Source organism: Homo sapiens, chromosome X, assembly GCF_000001405.40.
Source record: "Homo sapiens chromosome X, GRCh38.p14 Primary Assembly".
In the NCBI taxonomy this organism is placed as follows: domain Eukaryota; kingdom Metazoa; phylum Chordata; class Mammalia; order Primates; family Hominidae; genus Homo; species Homo sapiens.
Window position 1 is genome coordinate 43028109 of NC_000023.11, and position 19552 is coordinate 43047660.

Here is a 19552-nt window from a genome sequence, read left to right on the forward strand (position 1 = left end):
TTTAGAAATAATAGACACATACAAGATAGTGAAAGCTGGGTCCAGGGGGGCCACCACCTTCTGGTTCCATGGTGCCAACAATGCACTGGATATACCAGCATTTATTATTAAGTTTAGTGAGAGTGGGGGTAGGTTAGTGAGGGATTTAGAGTCATTTGATTATGAGGTGAGATGGTCACATGGGGATGAAGTAATTCTTTAACATAACATCTGTATGCAAAAGTACAGTATACAGTGATAAGAATTTACAATATAGTGTGTGCATCAGTAATTTCTAACAGAGCCTTAAAACAGAAACCCAGTCTTTCAATAACCTATGATTAGCAAGATATTAATCAGCAGTAACAGTTGCAGCAAAAGCTGGTTACAAACAATCCATAGATACAGGACGTGAAGCTAGACAACCGGTTAGACCAGAAATTCTCAGAAGGGAGTATGCCTTAACCCTAAAGAGGCCTAGAAAAGCCGTGGCAAGATGAGGGCGTTTATAGCCCTATCTTATCCATATGGAGAGGCACCCTCCCATGCGTCCGTTTATAGGCTCTCCACAAGGGTCGCATTCCATTCCCAGAGCTATGAACATCTGCTTTTCTGGGATAGAAATCTTGGTGATGTGAAACGTCCCTGACTGCACGTCCATCCATAGGCTCTCCGCAGGGGAAAGCACATCACGCACTGTTGGCTCATTCTGGCAGTCCAACCTGGCATTGTCTTTACACAATCCTGCATGCAATTTTGTATTTACAGTAATCGGGAGCATTTCATCTTTTATTCCGTAGCAGTAGTTTCAGGGGGTCTCCCTACAATTATGTTGTGGCAATTCCTCTTAACTGCTAGAAACATAGATGATGATGATGATGATAATCATAACCTATGATTTTAAATGATGGGAGTATGGAAATTGACTTGTTTATATCAACTGTCCAGACTAAGAGATAGAATACATCTAAATTTCTTTTGCACTCCTCAAATGAACTTCTATTTGTTCTATTTGATAATAATAATTTGGACTTCTAACTCCATATCTACTGTCATATGAATAAATGGACACTGCTAATAATGAGGCAGCAGACTGAAGAGTCTGAAACTTAGAATGTTCTTCTATAGGTGAGGCAGTTCTATCTACTTCATACGATCTGGATTGCATCAAATAGTTTGTGTGATCATTGTTTCTCTTTTTTCCCCTTTTATTTTCTTTTTATTTGACCAAAGACACAATTACTGAAAATCTGAAAAACTCCCTCTAAATGATATAAGCATAATCAGTAAGTCATATTAATCATAATGGTTCCTGTTGATTTTGAAGTTCAACTCTTGTTCAATTAATTTTTTCTGAAAAAATAAATGATTATTATTTTTAGTTAAAATCAACTTTAAGACTAGCTTTTCTATGAAATAGTTTTTGTTTCTGATTTTAAAAGTTGTATGGTAGTATGGTAAAAATATTTTACCAAAATACCTATGGTAAAACACTTAAAAGTTACAAAATCATTGATTAAAATAGAGAAACTACCAAAACAACAACTACATAGAGTTGGCTAGTCTCTATATCTAGACATCCCAGGAGACTTTAAGGCTGCTAAAATTAATTTTAAATAATTGGTAAAACTCTGTATATACTTATAAAATAAATATATAATAATCAATTCCTCTTATCTGCATTGGCAATAACCATTTAATATGGAAATTGCCTAATAATACATCTAACAAGAAAGGTATAGAAGCTGTATGAAGACACCTTTAAAAATTATTTTACAGAATGTAAAACAACCTTTAAAGGGAAGACACACTGTATTCACTTTTTTATTTACTTTAAAGTTGCTTTTTACTTTAACAAGTGCATTGAAAAAAATTAAAGCAATGCAAACATGTAAAAATAAAAGTGAAATTCCCTTACATCCCATTTCCCCCATTTCCCACTTCCAATGGTAACTACTGTTAACATTTGTTATATGTATTTCCAGGCCTTTTCATATGCATATATAAATTGTATGTATTATATACGTATGTGTCTGCAAAAATTTTACATCATAGGAATATACTGTGCATATTTTCTCTGCCATGTGCTTTCTTTACTTAACTAGTATACACTGGAACTGTTCCATATCATAATATATAGCTATTCTTTTAATGTCTATGAAAAAATTACAAAGTCTGTATATGTAATAACATACTTTTAATGACATTTAGATTGTTTTAACTTCCTCACTAGTCAAACCATGTTAAAGAGAACATCTTTGTACACAAATTTGAACATTTATACTTTGTAAATAATATAAAGGAGACTTAGGGCTCCTAAGAATTCCTTATAAACATTTTAGAAAATAGTTCACGAGAAGACTTACGAAACTGAGGAGGTTTTGAACACCAGTAAATCTGATTTGTTTTAGAAATTACTGTGTTTACACAATATATTTAATATTTTAATTTTTTTCCTAACTTCAATTTTCTGTGAGGCACAGAGAAAATGGTATTGAATGATTAAGAGCTTCTGCACAGCAAAAGAAACTACCATCAGAGTGAGCAGGCAACCTACAGAATGGGAGAAAATGTTTACAATCTACCCATCTGACAAAGGGCTAATATCCAGAATCTACAAAGAACTTAAACAAATTTACAAGAAAAAAATCAAACAACCCCATCAAAAAGTGGGCGAAGGATATGAACAGACACTTCTCAAAAGAAGACATTTATGGAGCCAACAGACACATGAAAAAATGCTCATCACCACTGGCCATCAGAGAAATGCAAATCAAAACCACAATGAGATACCATCTCACACCAGTTAGAATGGCCATCATTAAAAAGTCAGGAAACAACAGGTGCTGGAGAGGATGTGGAGAAATAGGAACACTTTTACACTGTTGGTGGGACTGTAAACTAGTTCAAACATTGTGGAAGACAGTGTGGCGACTCCTCAAGGATCTAGAACTAGAAATACCATTTGACCCAGCCATCTCATTACTGGGTATACACCAAAAGGATTATAAATCATGCTGCTATCAAGACACATGCACACGTATGTTTATTGTGGCACTATTCACAATAGCAAAGACTTGGAACCAACCCAAATGTCCATCTATGATAGACTGGATTAAGAAAATGTGGCACATATACACCATGGAATACTATGCAGCATAAAAAGGGATGAGTTCATGTCCTTTGCAGGGACATGGAAGAAGCTGGAAACCATCATTCTGAGCAAACTATCGCAAGGACAGAAAACCAAACACTGCATATTCTCACTCATAGGTGGGAATTGAACAATGAGAACACTTGGACACAGGATGGGGAACATCACGCACTGGGGCCTGTCATGGGGTTGGGGTGGGGGGAGGGATAGCATTAGGAGATATACCTAATGTAAATGACGAGTTAATGGGTGCAGCACACCAACATGGCGCATGTATACATATGTAACTAACCTGCACGTTGTGCACATGTACCCTAGAACTTGAAGTATAATAAAATAATAATAATTATTATGTGTCTGAAAGCTTTCTATTATATGTAATCTTACAGACAGTCCTAATTAATAGATTTTTGTTGAATGAATGAATGAAAACAAGGTGAAAGGAATTATACTTACTTGACCATTGCAATTATATATCTGAATTTACCTCTTGATTTTCCAGGATATGTAATAAAAAATATATATTTTTTGGCCTTTGTCCCCAGTTCCTGACACAGAGCCCCTGAACCTTTTGTAATTCCTGAGTGACAAGGGTGATATGAGTATCTTTTTTTGTAATCTTTCTTTTAAGTATATTTTTTAGAGATGGGGTCTCTTTATATTTCCCAGGCTGAACTCGGACTCCCAGCCTCAAGTGATCCTTTCACCTCAGCCTTCCAAGTAGCTGGGACTACAGGCACATACCACCACACCTGGCTTTCATTTTATATGAAATGTAAATAATCCTCTAATTAATGAAGAACATTATTGAAGTTCTAATTAACATTTCTGTTATGTGTGTTGCTTAAAAAAATTGTTTTACAGGCCGGGCGTGGTGGCGCACACTTGTAATCTCAGTACTTTGGGAAGCCGAGGCAGGTGGATCACCTGAGGTCAGCAGTTCAAGACCAGCCTGGCCAACATGGTGAAACCCCGTCTCTACTAAAAATACAGAAAATTAGCCAAGTGTGATGGTGGGCGCCTGCAGTCTCAGCTACTCGAGAGGCTGAGGCAGGAGAATCACTTGAACCCGGGAGGCGAAGGTTGCAGTGAGCTGAAATCACGCCACCGCACTCCAGTCTGGGCAACAGGAGCAAAACTCCATCTTAAAAAAAGAAATTGTTTTACTAGTTATATGCATGAGTAATAGCCAAAGATTGGTCAAGCACATCATCAAAAATAAAAATAGTGGCAGGAGGAACTTGCCTTGCCAAATATCTGTAAAGTTATATACTCAAAATAGTATTGACCCAAAAATAAACAGATTAGTGAAATAGAATAAAAAGTACAGAAATGGACCCAAGTGAATGTGAAGACTTTATATTCATCAATGGTTTTATTCTAACTTAGTGGAAAATGGAGGGCTTATTTTAGTAGAAGTGTTTGCATAGCTGACTTTCCATCTGGAGGAAAAAGGCTAGATCCTTATCTTATACCATATATAAAAATTAATGCCAGATGAATTCAGAATTTAAATTTTAAAAATACAAATATGAAAACTGGAAGAATATTTGCATAATCTCTATAGTGAGGGTGAAAATTATCATCCTAAAGAAGAAAGGAATTTTGAAGTCATAATGAAAAAAATCAGGAATATTTGAAAGCATTATGACACAAAAACAAAAAGCAAAAAGCATGATAAAAGACACTGTAAATGCAACCTAGAAGATGCAAATTAAAATAAAAATTAAGCATAATTTCACTATGCCAAAACAACCATGACTTAAAGCTTTAAATGCAAATGCCTTTAGACTTAAACATTGACTCTTCCTGGGTCTTGAGCCTTCCCTCATCATTCAGACTAGAACTACACCATCAGCCCTCCTGATTCTCAGGCCTTCACACTCAAACTGGAACTACACTATTAGCTCTCCTGGGTCTCCAGCTTGATGACTGGAAATCTTGAGACTTGTCAGATTCCACAATAACATGAGACAATTCCTTAAAATAAATCTCTTAATCTCTCTATATATGCATCCTATTGGTTCTATATCTCTGGAGAACCCTCACTAGTACACAATTTGGAATCTTATACAGCTTTCAAAAAAGAATGAAATGGAGTCATGTTTATTGACCTGAAGGATGTCCATAAGCTGTAACATAAAGCATATGGTATGATTCCACTAGTGTTAAAGCAAATAAAATAATAAAAATATACATGTGTGCACATGTATGCTCATACATTCTTATATTTGAGTGGGCAGAGTAAAAAAGTGTGAATGGACTCACATCAGGCTGTGTACATTGGTTGCCAGGCTAATGGGGGAGCATGAAAATAGAATAAAGAGATTATTACATTTTTACTGGAATAGTTGTAGTATTTCATCAATTGTGGTAAGTTATGTTTATTTTAGTTTTTTGAGCTAAAATTCACATAATATAAAATTCACCATTTCAGCAATTTTAAATTGTACAATTCACTGATTTTTGGCATATTCATAATGCTGTACAAACATAACCAGTATCTAATTACAAAACATTTACATCATCACTAAGAGAAACCCTGTACCTCCCAATCCTCACTCCCCCTATCCCCTGATGACTACTGATTTGCCTTCTATCTCAATTTTGTCTCTTCTGGATATTTAATATAAATGATATACTATATGTGGCCCTTTGTGTCTGGTTTCTATAACTTAGCATGATGTTTCTAAGGTTCATTTATGCTGGAGAATGTTTCAGTATTTCATTTTTTATGACCAAATAATATTCCATTGTGTGGACATATACCACATTTTGTTTACTTATTCATCAGTTGACACATATTTGAGTTGTTTCTCCTTTCTGGCTTCTGTATATAGTGCTGCTATGAACTTCCTTGTACAAGATTTTGTATGAGTATGTGTTTTATTTTTTAATTTCAGAATTCCTTCAACTTTAATTGTGGAGGTAAGATCAGGCTGCACACATATTTTAAATTCTCTTGGATATATATACCTGTTATGGACCAAACTGTGTCCCCACAAAATTTATATGTTGAAGTCCCAACTCCCACTGTACCTCAGAATGGGACCATATTTGGAAATAAGACGTTTAAAAAGACAATTGTGGTAATACAGGTGAGCCCTATTCCAATCTGACTGCTGCTTTTATATGACGAGTGAGACATTAGAGTTTGGTGCACAGAGAAAAGGTCATGTGAGGATACAGAAAGAAGGTGGCCACCTACAAACCAAGGAGAGAAGCCTCAGGAGAAACCAAACCTGCTGGCACCTGGATATCAGACTTCCATCCTCCAGAACAGTGAGAAAATAAATTTCCATTGTTTTAGCCACTCAGTCTATGGATACTTTGTTATGGCAGGTATTTCTTTATAGCTATGAAAGAGCAGCCTAATACATTGCCTAAACTAAGGTCAGAAGATTTACAGTTATGTTTCCTTTTAAAAGTTTTGTAGTTTTCGCTATTATATTTGGGCATTTGATCCATTTTGAGTTAATTTTTGTATATTGTGTGACATAGGAATCTAAATTCACTCTTTTGTATGTGGATATCCAATTGTCCTGGCACCATTGGTGGAAAAAAACTATCCTTTCCCCCACTTAATAATCTTAGTATTTTTGTCAAAAATTAATTGACCAAGATGTATAGGTGTATTTCTAGAAGCTCAATTCTATTCCATTGTCTGCCTTTATGCCATATGTCTATCCTTATGCCAGTATCGTACTGCTTTAATTACTGTAATGGCTTCCCAATTTTAAAACTTACTAGAAAGGTTTAAAATTGGTTAAGTGTGATCCCTTCAATTTTGTTCTTGTTTCTCAATATTGTTTTGGGTATCCAGGTCTCTTACATTTTTATATGAATTTTAGAATTAGCTTGTCCATTTCTGCAAAAAAAAAAGGCAGTTAGAATTTTGAAAGGGATTGCATTGAATCTGTTGGTAATTTGGTGTACTATTGCCATCTTAACAATATTAAGTCCTTCAGTCAATAACCACGGGATATCTTTCCATTATTTAGGACTTCTTCATTTCTTTTGCAATGATTTGTAGTTTTCAGTATACAAGTCTTGCCTTTCTTGGCTTAATTTGTTCTTAAGTAGTATATTATTTTTGATGCTATTGTAAATTGAATTGTTTTCTTAATTTCACTTTCAATTTGTTTATTGCTAGTGTATAGAAATACAATTAATTTTTGTATTTAATACAAAATATTGACCTTGTATCCTGAAACATGACTGAAATAAACTATTAGCTCTGTCAGAGTTATGACTGGTTGGTTGGTTGGTTTGGTGGATTATTTAAAGTTTCCTATATATAAGATTATGTCATCTACTAATATAGTTTTACTTCTTCTTTTCCAGTCCAGATGCCTTATATTTCCTTTTCTTGCCTAATGTATCTAGATAATATTTCCAGTACCATATTGAATTGAAATGGTGAGAGTAGACATCCTCGTCTTGTTTCTGTTGTTACAGGGAAAACTTTTAGTTTTTCACCATTAAGTTTGATGTTGTGAGTTTTGCATAAATGCTTTTCATCGGGTTAAGGAAGTTTCCTTCTATTCCTAGTTTGTTGAGTGTTTTTGTCATGAAAAGGTGTTGTATTTTGTCAAATGCTTTCTCTGCATCTATTGAGATGATCATGTACTTTTAAACCAATTTTACATTTCTGAGATAATTCTCACTCATGGTGTATACTCCTTTTAGTATGCTGCTGACTTGGGTTAGATAGTGTTGTTGATGATGATTGCATTGATATTCGTAAGGGATATTGGTCTGTAGCTTCCTATTCTTTTGGTGTATTTTTCTGACTTTAGTATCAGGGTAATACTGGCCATGTAGAATGGGTTAGAAAGTGTTCCCACACCTCTTTTATGTTTTGGAATAATTTTAGGATTGATATTAATTCTTCTTTTAATATTTAATAGAATTTATCTATGAAGTCACCTGGCCTTGGGCTTTACTTTATTGGAAATTATTTGATTACTTACTCAATCTTTTTAGTTGTTATAGCAGATTTTCTATTTATTCTTGAGTCTGTTTTGGTAGTGATACAGTTCAGTACATGCTACCCCAAAACAGGACACCTTGGCATTTGACAAAACAGTTGAAGCAACAGAGTTGCTATCACCTTCTCCTTGCCCCTTCTCTCCTGAAACAGGCCATAAAACCGAGCTGACTGTCTCTTGAAATAGGTCATAAAGCCATTCCAGAGGTACCCATCCTATACCTTAAGGAAAGGAATATACTTATCTCTGAAGACACAGGATGTAGAGAAGAATCTGTGCTAACAGGTGTTGCTAAGTTTCCCTCAGTTTATTACCATGGGATCATACTAGTTTGCCCTCCAACCGTACTTCTGCATGACTATCCACTCTTTATCAATCCTAAGTATTAAAAGACATAGGTTTTCCTGTTTCTTTGGATCTTCATTTCTGAAGCCTCCTATGTCACCTAAAACTTTTATTAAATAAATTTGCTATGCTTTTCTCTTATTAATCTGTCCTTTCTTGTATGGCACTCAGTTATGAACCTAGCAATGGATTAGAAAATAAATCTTTTTTCACCTATAATAGTTTGTGTCATTTTAGGAATTTGTCCAATACATCTAGGTTATCTAATTCACTGGCATATAATTATTCAAAGTATTTTTATGATCCTTTTCATTTCTGTAAAGTGAATAATAACATCCCCACTTTCATTCTCAATTTTAGTAATTTGAGTCTTTTTTCCCCCTTTGGTCCATCTAGCTCAAGGATGATCAATTTTTCATTTCTTCAAAGAACCAACTTTTCATTTAATTAATTTTCTCTATTATTTATCTATTCGGTACTACATTTGCCGTCACTGTAATCTTTACTTTCTTTCTTCTTGATTTGGGTAACTCATCATACTTTCTTAGTTTTATGTGTGCTTCATTTTTTTTCCTGAAGATTGGACATTTTGAATGTTATAATGTGGAAACTCTGAAAATCAGATTTCCTCGCTTTCTGGGATTTATTATCATTGTGCTTGTTGTAGCTGTTTGTTTGTTAACTGACTTTTCTAAGCTAATATTGTAAAGTTTGTATTGTTTATCATGTGAGCCAATTTTGTAAAGTTTGTATTCTTTCTCATGTGAATTAATTTTGTAAAGTGTGTATTTTTTATCACGTGTGCTCACTGAAGTTTGTGTTCCATTAGCTTAGTGGTCAGCTAATGATCAGACAGAGATTTCCCTAAAGTCTGGAACCAAAAAATATCCCAGTCTTTGCATATTGGTTCTGGGGAAAAAGCATGCCTTCAACACTTAGCCAGGAAGTTTACAACTCTGCCTTAACCTTCATTACCTGTTTGCACAGGGACTCAAAGTCAACCAGAGATAAGAGCTTAGGACCTTCTCAGATCTTTCCTGAGCATGGGCAGAATCCTGGCATGCAGAGGGCTTTCCATAATCCCAGGAATATATTGGAACTTTTCAAAGCCCTTATTCCCCCAAAACATCTCACTTTCCAGCCTTTCCTCACAAGCTTTTTGCTTAGTGTATTGTTTGCCCCACTGTTATCCATTGCCTCAGCAGCAAAGACCAAAACATTTATCTGTAAATGTTTTCAACAAATGTCTCCTGAGTTCAGGTTTTAGCACGTGTGAGTTCCACTCAGGCAAAATAAAGACAAATGTTTGAGTGGATCTCCCAGTAAACCACTTGACAGATCAACTAAGGATAATTTGTAAATGAGATCCATTGTCCTTCCTCCTATACAGATATTAGGAATGCAGTCTATTATTTTCAAGTCTACCACTGGGGAAGAGGGAATGGGATAGAGTAAGTTAAAATACCACAAAGCTCACTGTTCTTCCTGAGATTTAGCTGTTTTACTTGAATAAATAGTACCTGAGTTACTACAGCTTTTGCTTAGTTTCCAATGTCCTGAAAAAGTTGGTTCTGACTGTTTTTGCCAGTTTTTCTTGATTTTTTTTGGAGAGTAAGACTTTTGAAGCTCCTTACTCTGCCATTTTTTGGTGACATCATTCCTCTGAAGATAAATTTAATAAATAAAATGATGTATGTGCCTGGTAAAAATGAAAATTTAACAGAGTGTATATAAATTAGAAAGCAAAAAAAAAATCAATCTCAATCTACAGACATAACCTACCTTACTAGTTTGGCTTATATTAGATATAAGAAATTGGTTTATATAAAAATATATGTGAAATTATTCATATGTATAGATATATCTATATACTTATATATAAAAATAACTCGCTTTCTTTGCTGCCCAATATTTACCCACATAGATGTACCATAATTATTTTTTATGTTTTATTGATGGATACTTGTGTAATTTCTAATTTTTTACTGTTACATATATATTACAGTAAACATCCTTATATGTACCTCTTTGAATTATTTTTGATAGATTACTAGAATGAAATGGCTCAACATGTATATTTAAAATTTTTATCTATTATATCAAATTAATCTCAAACACTTTTTATCAATTCTACCCTCACAAAAATGTGATAGAGTGAACATTTCCTTGCCAATGTGAATTATTATTTTCATCTTAAAAATATACCCATCTCTTTGGAAAAAATATAAATTTCTGAGTTATTTTATTCTGCATTTCTCTGGTAAGGACTATAGTTTAACGAGTTTTCATGTGCTTTGGGGCTTCTTTTTATACCTGTAACCAGTTTCTATCCCTCTCTCTTTTGAAATTAAATAACATTTTTCTTACATATTCTTGATATTATTTCTTTGTCGTGTGTGTGTGTGGTGTACACGTGTATATACACACATGTGCATGCATGCATATATGCTTATATACACACATACATATATAAATATGCATGTACACTTATCTTTACAAGTATGAGGATAAAGAAAATTTTGGACATTTAAGGAGTTAGAAAGTTTGCAGTCCACAAAACCCTCTTTTAAAGCGACATCTTCTTTCTCTACCTTTTCTTGAGGTCAATATCTTCCTCTCCCAAGATTTAGTTTTCATTTTGCTAAGCAAAGTAGCAAAACTTTTATTTCTCTTTAAATATTTCCTAATGTATTGTGTCACAGAATTTAATATTAGTTTAGATTGAAAACTCCAGAGAATGTCAACTGGTTGCACATATGTGTGTACATGCGTTGTGGGGGAGGGGCATGGAGTGAAAAAAAGTGAAAGCATGACAACATTTTGTCGTGGATAGATATCATAAGTGATCAACCGTATTTTCCACATTTAAATATTAAGTAACATATATAATATTAATTTTATATGGATTAAAGTTTCAATTGAAATACAAAGGTACAATATGTTGAAAAGGAGCAGTGAACAAAAAGAAGTTGACAACTCAACAAAATGCAGAAAATATAATAAGTTAAAAGCTAAAATATACTAAAAATAGAAATTAACACAAAGCTTGGGAAATGGGGAAAATAAACAAGATGTAGACAGACTTATTTCTCCAATAAATGTATATAAACCCTCTGGGATGATGGGAAGGTTTTTCAGTTTTTAAAAAATATATATATTTTTGGTATATATATATAAATAAATATATATCTTTATCACATTTAATATATAATATGTATATATTTTATATATATACAATTGAGTTTTTGTTTTCTGAATGCTTACCACTTTGTAACATAATTCTAAAACTTTATTAACTAAACCACATAATCCTTCACACTTGCATTTGAGACGGGTAGAAAAAGCTAAACTTAAAGAAGCCAGATATAAAAGTAAAAGTGTATTCTTATAATCTTCGGGTAAGAAAGACATAGACATTAGAAAGGAAAAGAATGACTGATTTTATCAAATGAAAATTAAGAAAAAGTTCCATGCCCTCCAGAAAAAATACTTGGAAGGGTATGTTTGTTCTATATAACACATAGTGAATTAATATCAAGAAAATATAGATATCTTATACACTAACATGAAAAGGACAATCAATACAAAAGTAAAAAATAAGTAAAAGGGAAAGAAATACAAATATTGTGTTAACACACTGCGAATTGCATACATTTGAATGAGTAGAAGCATGAAATATCATTACTTGCCCATCAGGTAAAACCTAAGAATTAGTGATGTCAAGAGTTAGCACATATTTGGGAAGTCAAACTTTCTCATATACTACTGGAAGTTGTGTAAATTGGCAAAATAATTTTATAGGGCCATTTAGCAGCAGCATGTACAGTCAGCTTTTAATATCCATGGGTTTCATACGCATCGATTCAACCAAATGTGGATTCAGGAAAAAAAAATATTGCTTATGTACTGAACACGTACAGACTTTTTTTGTCATTATTCCCTAAGCAATAAATTGTAAAACTATTTACATAGCATTTATATTGTGTTAGGTATTATAAATAATCTAGAAATGGCTTAAAGTATATGGGAGAATGTGGATAGGGACTTGAGCATCCGTGAATTTTGTTATCTGTGGGAGATCCTGGAACCAATCCCCTACAGATATAGGTATGATTGTAACCGTGTTTAGATATTATACTGCTATACCTGGTATCTATCCTGAGAAAAACTGAGAGCACACAAGTGCACAAAGAGGCATGTAGAGATTAATTGTAGCACTTTTCTGAAAAATAATTTTGAAATATTGGAAACAAATTATCATGAGGGAATAATAAAATAAGTTATAAAATGTTGATGCAATTGAATATATGCAGCAGCTATAAAAAGTTAAGTAGATTTGTTTGTATTGACTGACAAAAAAACAAGTAGAAAATTATTCAGATAGCTAACCTCCCAAGCTAAATATCTAAATTTCAAATATTTAAATGAATTGACAAAAAGATGGAAGAATACCCATCAAACTTTTCAATGTTAAGGAATAGAGCAGGAGTGAGGGAAAAGTTTGCTGTGTTTACTTAGCTATAGTAAAACAAATTACAAAGAAAAATTTTAAATGTAAAAATATTTTGAATAATTTTTAAATTTGGTAAAGTATGTAATGATTCTTAATGTTGCTATAAAAAAGTATGGTTTTCATACACAGATTGGTGCAATTCACATTTTGTGTCCATAATATTAGTTCATAGAACTGGAATGGCCTGGGACTCAGGAGGCCTGGATTCTAGTGCTAACTTTTGCAAGTTCCTCACCTGCTCAGCTGTCATTCTATCATTTAAAGGGCATGGACTAGATGATCTTCAATGTCTAACAACCACTGATTCTGTGATAATCTTGAAATCAAACAAATGTATTGAAGGTATTTATTATGACTTTCATGTTCATAGATTCCATGTTTTGGGGAACCTTTCAAATTCAAGTTTTTTCCCCATTTTTTAATGAGCAGACTGATCACACCATATATCTGTCTTGGCAGAGGGAAATTGTCACCTTGATATAATCATCCTTAACAAAAAAGCTTGGGAAGTGGCTTACCTAGAATAAGATACTGGATAGATAATGCAGGTAGCAAAGTATAGTGAGAACATAACATAATTTAGGAGTCAGACAGGTGTATATCATCTGGAAGACCTTGAAAAAGCTATTGAAGGGATCTTAGCCTCATTATCCACATCTATAAAGTGGAGCTAATACTATCTATGATTATATTCCTCTATGTATAGTAATAGTTACCATTTTACTAGGCCCACGCTATATGACTGGCAACATATCAAGCACTTTATACAATATCAAATTTAATTCTCATGATAAATCTTAACTGTTGATGAAAGCCTAGTTACTTTGTGACTCATTATAGGAGAATGCTGATCTATTGTATGTAGGAGAACAGGCCTCTTATGGATGATGCCAGACCTCATTTTTGTTATCATGGGGATTCTCTGTGATATCCAAATACAGTTTATTGCAGTATATCAGTGTTTGTAGAATAATAATGTTCCTTTAGTGCCAAATAATGTTCCTTCAGGGCTAAATCTCATTCCTCTTGTTTTGTTTTAGAAACTTCCAATTAGGAGTCACTACACCAGCTCTTTTGTTTATACCTTTGCTTGGTATTGTAATATCTTCCAGGTGTGGTGGTTCACGCCTGTCATCCCAGTGCTTTGGGGGGCTTAGGTGGGAGAAATGCTTGAGTCTAGGAATTTAAGGTTACATTGAGCTATTTTTCACGCCACTGCACTCCAGCCAAGATGACAGAGAAAGACCCTGGCTCAAAGAAACTTAAATTTTACAAAGCACTATAATGTAATTCTTCTTTGTAAGTATTTTCATTTATTCTAAATGTTATGGCTGCATGATATCTGCCAATCATCATTTTAGGTGGGATGTGAGCCACTCTTCACTCTGTTTCTCCCCTACAACATCAGCCTCTTCAAGGATCTTGCTTACAGATAGATTCATCAATGTACAGAGAAACTCTTTTGCATAATACTTACAAAACTATATGCAATTTTCAATTCCACCATAATTACTTTGTAAATGCAATGTCATTTCAATCAAAATGCCTACAAAAATTATAAAAAAACTAAAGGAGGCAAGCTAATTATCAAGCTATCTAGAAGACAAAGTGCATAAGTGCAGCTAAGAATTTTTTTTAAAAACCATGATCAGGAGGACAGACAAACAGGAAATATATAAATTGTGATTTAGACTGAAAGTTTAGGAAGGAGCCTTCATGGATTAGAAGCATGTCTGTAATCATGCTCACTCTAATTATAATTAGAGCTAAAGTAGCAACAATTAGGTCACTGTTTACAACATTTTCTTTTGCATATGGTAGATAAGACTGGCTTAGGTTTTCTTAAATAGGGCATTAGAATTCAGACATTTATTTTTGCCTGCCCACTCAAAAGCTATTTCTCCTTCCTTGCTAAGGAAAATCTGCTTTAGGTAGCAAAACTCCAAGAGAAGTGGCAAGTTTAGGGATGAAAGCCATCATAGTAATAGGAAGCTCTCCTCAGATATGAAGAGCTTGGTCCTCAGGACATCATTAAAATGCTGGGCCACCACTGAGACCACTGACTTCAGGGATTTTTATTAAATAAACAAAATTATATTTGTACTTAAAAACATTTTAGTCAAGTTATCCATTACCTGAAGCTAAAAACATTTCTAATTAATACAAGTGATAGAGTGGCAGTGTAAAAATAAGTATTCTAAAATACTCTTTGCTTATTGAACATTTAAATAAATATACAAAAACTTGTTGATCTATATGATAATTAATGTCTTTACTGAAAAATCATTGAAATTCCAGAAGTATATATGGAGATAAAATGTAGAGAGCCAATAGGTTAATCATAGGGATTAGCAGCAGAAAATTACTCAACTATAAACTGATTTCCCTGTTTTCTTCATCAAGGTGAATTTAGTATTTTAAAATAGCTGAAAGGTTCTTCTGAAGATTTACATAGCTCTATTCAATCATTTTTTTTTAGAGAATTTAGCTGTCTTTAATTAAGCCAGGCATTAGAGAGATTTCCAGTCTTCTGATTAAATTATCTTTCATTTGGGAAGATACAGATATGTTTTAATTAAAATACAATGTTAACATATAATGAGATTATTTTTAAAGATACACATGGTTAAAATTTCAGTTTTAATTTTTTTGCTTTTTTTTTTGTACCAAAATACTTAAAAAAAGAGAAAAACCTTGAAGTTCAGGGCTACAAGTGCAGGTTTGTTATATAGGTAAATTTGTGTCATGGGGTTTGTTGTATAAATTATTTTGTCACCCAGGTATTAAGCCTAGTACTAATTAGTCATTTTTCCCAATCCTCTCCCTCCCCCCACCCTCTACCCTCAAGGAGGCCCCACTGTCTGTGATTCCCCTCTAGGCATCCATGTGTTCTCATCATTTAGCTCCCACTTATAAGTGAGAACATGTGGTATTTGGTTTTCTGTTCCTGTGTTAGTTTGCTAAGGGTAATGGCCTCCAGCTCCATTCGTGTCCCTGCAAAGGAAGTGATCTCCTTATTTTTTATGGCTGCATAGTATTCCATGGTGTGTATGTACCACTTTTTTCTCCATTGATGGGCATTTAGGTTGATTCCAAGTCTTTGCTATATTCAATCATTTTTAAACTATGCACACACACACACACACACACACACACACACACACAAACACCACAGATCTTTGGCGTTCAATGAATTTTTTTTGTTTTTGAGACAAAGTCTTGCTCTTGTTGCCCAGGCTGAAGTGCAATGGTGCAATCTTGGCTCACTGCAACCTACACCTCCAGGTTTCAAGCAATTCTCCTGCCTCAGCCTCCCGAGTAGCTGGAACTACAGGCATGTGCCACCACACCCGGCTAATTTTGTATTTTTAGTAGAGACTGGGTTTCTCCATGTTGGTCAGGCTGGTCTCGAACTCCCAACCTCAGGTGATCCGCCTGCCTCGCCCTCCCAAAGTGCTGGGATTACAGGTATGAGTCACCATGCCTGGCCGAATTTTAACAATTGTATACATCTGTATAATTAAGAGTCAAAACTGGATATGGAATATTTCTATCACCTGAGAAAGTTCTTGCAAAAGATAACCACTGATCTAATTGTTATCACCATAGAAATTATTTTAATTGTTTAATTAATTTAACAATTTCAATGTCATTTAATCAAACACATTAGACAATTCAATTAAACATTTGGTTAATTGTTCAAAGTGTTTAATTATCTTAATTGTTCTAGAACATAATATAAATGGTAATATAGTGTGTATTCTTTTGTGTCTGGATTCTTTTGCTCAACATGTTTATGATCCATCCATATTGTGTGTTTATCAGTAGTTTATTCATTTTGTTGCTGAGAAATATTCCATCATGTGAATATACCACAGTGTTTTTATCCATTCTTCTGTTGAATGATATTTGGGTTGCTCTTAATTGCTGGCTATTAAGAATAAAGATGTTATGAACATTCTTTTTTGTTAATTAATTAATTTATTTTTATTTATTTCAATAGTTTTTGGGGAACAGATAGTTTTTGGTTACAAGGATAAATTCTTTAGTGGTAATTACTAAGATTTTGGTGAGCCCATCACCTGAGCAGTGTACACTGTATCCCATGTGCAGTCTTTTATCCTTTACCCCCACTTCCTCCCAAATCCCAAAGTCCATTGTATCATTCATATGCCTTTGTGTCCTCATAGCTTAGCTCCCACTTATCAATGAGAATATATGATATTTGGTTTTCCATTCCTGAGTTACTTCACTCAGAGTGATAGTCTCCAACTCTATCCAGGTTGCTGTATTTGCCCTTATTTCGTTCCTTCATATGGTTGAGTAGAATTCCATGGTGTATATGTACCACATTTTCTTCAGTCACTTTGTCTATGGGCATTTAGGCTGGTTCCATATTTTTGCAATTGCAAATTGTGCTGCTATAAACATGCATGTACAAGTGTCTTTTTCATATAATGACTTCTTTTCCTCTGGGTAGATACCCAGTAGTGGGATTGCTGGATCAAACAGAAATTCTACTTTTAGTTCTTTTAAGAAATCTTCATACTGTTTTCCATAGTGTTTGTACTAGTATACATTTCCACCAGCAGTGTAAAAATGTTCCCTTTTCACCACATCCATGCCAGCATCTATTATTTTTTGAGTTTTTAAAATTATGGGCATACTCGCAGGAGTAAGGTGGTATCTCATTGTGGTATTGATTTGCATTTCCCTGCTGATTAGTGATGTTGAGCATTTTTAAATATATTTGTTGGTCATTTATATATCTTCTTTTGAGAATTGTCTATTAATATCCTTTGCCCACTTTTTTGATGGGATTAGTTGTTTTTTCTTGCAGATTTTTTTGAGTTCCCTGAGTCTGGATATTAGTCCTTTGTGAATATTTTCTCCCACTCTGTGGGTTGTCTGTTTACTCTGCTGTAATCAGAGTGCAGAAGTTTTTAGTTTATTAGGTCCCATGTGTTTATTTTTGTTTTTGTTGCATTTGCTTAAGGGTTCTTGGTCATGAACTCCGTGCCTAAGCCATGTCTAGAAGAGTTTTACTGATGTTATCTTCTAGAATTTTTTAGGGTTTTAGGCCTTAGATTTAAGTCTTTGATCCATTTTGAGTTGATTTTTGTATAAGGTGAGAGATGAGGATCCAGTTTCTTTCTTCTACATATGGCTTGCCAATTATCCCAGAACCATTTGTTGAATAGGATGTCCTTTCCCCACTTTATGTTTTTGTTTGCTTTGTCAAAGATCAGTTAGCTGTAAGTATTTGGCTTTATTTCTGGGTTCTTTATTCTGTTCCATTGGTCTATGTGCCTATATTTATACCAGTACCATGCTGTTTTGGTAACTATAGCCTTATAGTACAGTTTGAAGTCAAGTAATGTGATGCCTACAGATTTGTTGTTTTTGCTTAGTCTTGCTTTGGCTATGCAGGCTCTTTTTTGGTTCCATATGAATTTTAGGATTGATTTTTCTAGTTCTGTGAAGAATGATGGTGGTATTTTAATGGAAATTGCATTGAATTTGTAGATTGCTTTTTGGCAGTATGGTAATTTTCACAATATTGATTCTACCTATCCACGAGCATGGAACGTGTTTTCATTTGTGTGTGTGTGTCATCTGTGATTTATTTCAGCAGTGTTTTGTAGTTTTCCTTGTAGAGGTCTTCTACGTCCTTGGTTCGGTATATTCCTAAGTATTTTATTTATTTTTTGCAGCTATTGTAAAAGGGGTTGAATTCTTGATTTGATTCTCAGCTTGGTTGCTATTGGTGTATAGCGGTGCTGCTGATTTGTGTACATTGATTTTGTACCCTGAAACTTTACTGAATTCATTTATCAGATCTAGAAGCTTTTCGGATTATTCTTTAGGGTTTTCCAGGTATATAATCATATCATCACCAAACAGTAACTGTTTGTCTTCCTCTTTTATGATTTGGATGCTCTTTATTTCTTTCTCTTGTCTGACAGCCCTGGTAAGGACTTCCAGTACTATGTTGAATAGAAGTGGTGAAAGTGGGCATCCTTATCTTTTTCCACTTCTCAGGGAAAATGCTTTCCACTTTTCCTGTTCAATACAATGTTGTCTGTGAGTCTGTCATAGATGGCTTTTATTATCATGAGGTATGTCCCTTCTACGCCAATTTTGCTTAGGGCTTTAATCATAAAGTGATGCTGGATTTTGTCAACTGCTTTTTCAGCATCTATTGAGATGATCATATGATTTTGTTTTTAATTCTGTTTATGTGATGTATCACATTCATTGACTTGTGTATATTAAACCATCTCTGCATCCCTTGTATGAAACCAACTTGATCTTGGTGGATTATCTTTTCGATATGCTATTGGATTCAGTTAATTAGTATTTTGTTGAGGATTTTTGCATCTATGTTCATCAGGAAAATTGGTCTTCTTTTTTTGTTATGTCCTTTCCTGGTTTTGGAATTAGGGTGATACAGGCTTCATAGAATGATTTAGGGAGGATTCCTCTTTATCTTTGGGAATAGTTTCAGTAAGATTGGTACCAATTCTACTTTGAATGTCTGATATAATTCAGCTGTGAATCCATCTAGTC